Source organism: Homo sapiens, chromosome 1, assembly GCF_000001405.40.
Source record: "Homo sapiens chromosome 1, GRCh38.p14 Primary Assembly".
NCBI classification, from domain to species: domain Eukaryota; kingdom Metazoa; phylum Chordata; class Mammalia; order Primates; family Hominidae; genus Homo; species Homo sapiens.
In genome coordinates this window covers 152,122,540-152,127,736 of record NC_000001.11, presented here as the reverse complement: position 1 = coordinate 152,127,736, position 5,197 = coordinate 152,122,540, and the positions used below count along the sequence as shown (strand labels likewise).

The window sequence follows — 5,197 nt, the reverse complement described above, 5'->3', positions numbered from 1 at the left end:
TTTAAAAATTAACAATTGCTGAAAAACAAATTTTTACATCCTGATGCCATCTTGTACAAAAAAAGTACACAAAGACCATTCTTGTTATTTTGAATTATTGATAAAAATGATTTCAAGACATTGTCCATAATATAGTACAATATATATCACTTGATATATGCTCCTAAGGTCTCCATGGTAACATATGTCCTAACACATACCCTATAGTCAAAACTCACTTATTACGTCACAGTTGGTGTAATAGGACAGGGCCAAAAAGAAAAGTTCAGTTCAGAAGACATCTAGTTTATTTTCTGGGTTTGCTTACAAATTCATATCTAAATAGTTTATGCAGTAAGGAAAATATTTCACCTGTGCTTCCTATGAGAATTTTGGAGACAGCATTTTCTCCTGTTCTATGACTCCAAGGAACAGAACGAAGCCCAGGAAGGAGCCACAGAAACAAGGAAGTGTACTGCATGCTGCCTGTCTGAAAAAGGCATGCTCAGTTGCATTTTCTCAGGGTGTTCTACAGAATGTCACTATCAGAAGATAGGTCGGGGATGGGGAGGGGAGAGACAGTCAGTGGTCCACGAGTTTCAGAAATGCTTTATCTATAGACCCCCTTTGGAAACTCACCACATACACCCTATACATGCACAATAAACAAATAAATAAATAAATAACTTGTTTCAATTTGCTTAATCCCGAGTTCCCAAATTTAGATAAAACTAGAGCCTGAAGTACCTGAATACCTAGGAAGATCCCATGAAACTAGTGTCTTAACCAGAAACCTATGAAGTATAAGACGTTATTATGATACCACATCCAAGCAAAATAGAGTTACCTTGAGCTCCTCCAATGGCCTCTAATGAGTATTACCAGAACCACCCACCACCTGTGCCCTTCTCTAATTCTGGAGAAGGGAACTTGGAATCACTTGTTCAGGACCAATTCCTTCTTTTGGAAAGTAGAGGAAAAGAGGGTATGTAAAAAAGGGAGAACCAAGAAGAGAGAGAGGAATGACAGAACCCATCTACTTTTGATTCACTGAATTCTTGACAGCAAAAACAAAATTCATATTGGAAGACAAAACACAAATTTCAAACCACAAAATCTACTACCTTCCATATCTGTAAGGTACCATTTCATTAGCTCTAAATCTCCATGGCTCCTATATCAACTAATTGATTGGCCTAAAGGAGCAGATCTGATCTGTCCAATCCAGCAAGTTAGAACCAAAGCTCAGCCGCTAGGTGACCTCTGACAGGCAACTTAACCTCAGAGTGGCCCCATTTCCACACCTGAAAGCAGAGGAAGTAGCCCTTCTGTCAGACTGGGCTGGATAGGGAACAACTAATAAAAAGAGGTTCGTAAAACCCTTTGAAATACAATCAGTGTCCTGTAAAAACTTAATAATTATAATTAAGCTGTAGCTAGAAGTCTGCGAGGTCCACACATGACAGTCAGCAGTCACTGTGCTGGTATCTGATAAGAGGACACCCTCTGCTCCGGTGCCATCAGCTGCACAAACTGGTCTTGGCTGTGTCTGATTTCTTCACACAAAGTTGTCAGAGGAAAAATATTGCTGCAGTCAAGTTGTCTTGATCTAATCATCACCATGTTTCATTAGAGATAAAATCCTGCCAGCCTCCTAAAGATCATGAACCTCCGTTCCCTGTGGCTGGGGGGACCTCCTTCACGAAAGTAGCACCTGCTGCAGAAGCCACGCCACTGTAGAGCATAGGTTTGTTCTAACCACATCAGAAGGGGCAAAAGCACTCACCAAACTACAGTGGGGGTGGTAAAGACAATATCTTCTAACTGGTACTTTCCATAGCAAATTATTATTATCTCCATGCAGGCAACAAGGAATTAAAGTAGTAGTATTGAATAATGGTAGAGTGTGGGTTTTAGAGGCTGACAGATCTGGATTCAAATTCCAGCTCTGCAACTTGCCGACTTAATTGGCCTTAGGTAAGTTACTTAGCATCACAAAGACTCAGTTTCTCCATCTACAAAATGAGACTATTCATGCTTACTATACAGGATTGGTGTAAGAATTAAATAACAGAGACAATAGTTACTTTTGTTTCTGGCTTATAGTGATTGATGAAGATAATAATGATCACAACAAAAAATAGAGTCCCCATCACCACGTCTCATAGGCCAAAACTTCCCTCACTAAACTGGAGATGCAAGGCAGAGGTATATTTGGCCATATTTGAGTTCTCAGAACCTGAACCAATGTCCATTAAATTTGATTAGACTGAATTGATCATATAATGCTCAGTGCAGAAGATCAGGATGAAATATATCAGATGCTTGGATTAGAAAGGTGAGGTCTCCAACCCAGTTAACACGGTGAAACCCCATCTCTACTAAAAACACAAAAAGTTAGCCTGGTGTGGTGGCACACACCTGCAGTCCCGGCTACTCAGGAGGCTGAGGCAGAAGAATCGCTTGAACCTGGGAGGCGGAGGTTGCAGTGAACCGAGATCATGCCACTGCACTCCAGCCTGGGTGACAGAGCAAGACTCTGTCTCAAAGAAAAAAAAAAAAAGAAAGAAAGAAAGATGAGGTCTCTTTGCTCCTCACCCCCACCCAGACGGAGAAGGCAGCACCATGGGAGCACCCCCACCCCCCACCGCAGCCCATCACCCACCTCATCTTTGACATGGATGGCCTTCTTCTGGATACTGAATGGCTATATTCAGTGCTGTTTCAAGAAATATGTGATTTCTATGAAAAGAAATACAGCTGGGTTGTAAAGTCCCTGGTAATGGGTAAGTAGGCATTAGAGGCAGCACAGATTATAATAGACATCTTGCAGCTCCTGATGTCCAAGGAGGAACTGGTGGAAGAAAGCCAAACGAAGTTAAAGGAAGTGTTCCCTACAGCTGTGCTCATGCCAGGGGCTGAGAATCTCATCGTCCACCTGCAGAAACACAGCATTCCCTTTGCCATGGCCACCAGCTCAGGGTCTGCCTCATTGGAGATGAAGGTGAGCTGACACAAGGAGTTCTTCAGCCTGTTTTCTCACATTATGCAGGGAGATGACCCCGAAGTACAGCACAGCAAGCCAGACCCCAACATCCTCCCAGCTTGTGCCAACAGGTTCTCTCCCTGTCCTCCTATGGAGAGGTGCCTTGTTTGAAGATGCTCTCAATGAGGTGGAGGCAACCCTGGCAACTGGGATGCAAGTGGTCTTCATTCTAGACAGAACCTTGAACTGAGACTTGAGGAGAAAGGCCACCCCGGTGCTGAATTCCCTGCAGGACTTCCAGCCTGAGCTGTTTGGTTTGCTCCCCTATGAGTGAGAGGGAGGGCCGCCCCCAGCCCACTCTCATGGTCCACACTGCTGGGGGAAAGGGAAAGGAAATCAACAACTCCCAAATCCCAGACTGCACAGTAATTTTAGCTTCCTAAGGTTTGCCTTTCCATCCTGTGTTGGCTTGCCCCACTCTAAAGTGTTGATGAAATGTGGCTTGACAGTTGAGAGAAACTTAGTAGAGACGAAAACAAAGCCCGGAACAAAAATCGAACTTGAATTACCATCTCAAAAACCAAGCTGATGGAGTATGTGATAAAGTGAATGTATATGCATATATATATATACACATATAGATACATATACATATATATATCTCAGTATGTTCATATGCATATAGGCATTACATGTATATGTATGTAGATATATGCATATCTGTATATGTGAGATGTATACTTTTCCAAGACAAAATGGAACATGATTTCTCTTTTGTTCTAGTTTTTCTGAAACCCCAGCTGGAAAAATGTAAACTATGTATGCATATAAGTATATGCTTCATGTGTACATACATATGTATTATATATATATTTATATCGATCATCTGCATCACTCTCCTCAGTGTTGATGTCAACATGCAATGGCAACTGACAAAGTGAGATGGTAGTTCTGGCTGGTCTGCAATCTGAGTGGGAAAGCCATGTTTCTGGTGAGCACTAAGAAATAATTATCCTTATTAGTTAACATTAAAATTCTTTTTGTGACCTCAGAATATCTCTGGATTTTCACTCATCGACTGACTCTGAGCCACATCATCTATAATTTGTTGTTAGTGTGAACACAACTGTAGCATTTATCTGGTATCTACATCGTTATCCACATTGGAGAATGTTTTCTACCTCATAATAACCATTTGCCTCATTTAAGAACACTGATTGCCTACACTTTTTGTAAAGAAATAGAATTTGATTTCAGAATGTATACTTAGTGAGACTGAGTGCCCAGGAACACTTTTGGAATCATTGATCAGACATTGCACTTCTGTGATTATTCACTTTTATAGATTTACTCAGTCTTTAGAATTTGTCTATGATTTGTCAGAGAAAAATGGTGATAGCCATGGAAATGGGGAGTGAAGAAGTGCTGCTCAGTTGTGGCTCAGCCATTCCCTGTGGCCTCTGCCCTTTGACGTCCTTGAGCTACTCTTCAGCTCTGGAAGTTGTGGACAAACCATAGGAATGCATGTGTGTGTCTGGTGGAGTGACTGTGGATGACAGGCCCTGGCTATTGATTGATTGTGCATCAATTTAGCAAATTCGCTTTCTCATTCCTTTTTTTTTTTTTTTTTTCTGAGATGGAGTCTCGCTCTGTCACCCACGCTGGAGTGCAGTGGCATGATCTCGGCTCACTGCAACCTCCGTCTCCTGGGTTCAAGCAATTATCCTGCCTCAGCGTAGCTGGGACTACAGGCATGCGCTACCACACCTGGCTAATTTTTGTATTTTTAGTAGAGACGGGGTTTCACCACCTTGGCCAGGCTAATCTCGAACTCCTGACCTCAAGTGATCCACCCGCCTGGGTCTCCCAGGAGTGCTGAGATTACAGGCATGAGCAACTGTACCCAGCCCATTTCCTCATTCCTGATGGCCTGTATACATGTCTGCACTTTGAATTCTCCTTCAAACCAGTTGTAATGTCTCACAGTTTCCCTCACAAATTGAATTAGTTTAATAACATTTTTAAACACATGTTTAAAAAAAAAAGAAGAAGAAGAAAAGATGAGTTTTCTTTCATAAGCCATTGAATACATGTGGGCAAAACCAGTTCACTTACCCTCTCCTAGGCTGATGCCCCAGGCAGTTTCCTCACTGAAGCAAATTCTGCTTATTCAAATCCTTATTTGAATAATAGTAGCAGAGGAAGTTCAGGCTGGCTCAGATGATACTCTTG

General features: G+C 42.0%; 1 pseudogene; it reads left to right on the top strand.

Annotated features, from left to right (window-relative positions):
- On the top strand, positions 2,567–4,577 carry PUDPP2 (pseudouridine 5'-phosphatase pseudogene 2; annotated as a pseudogene).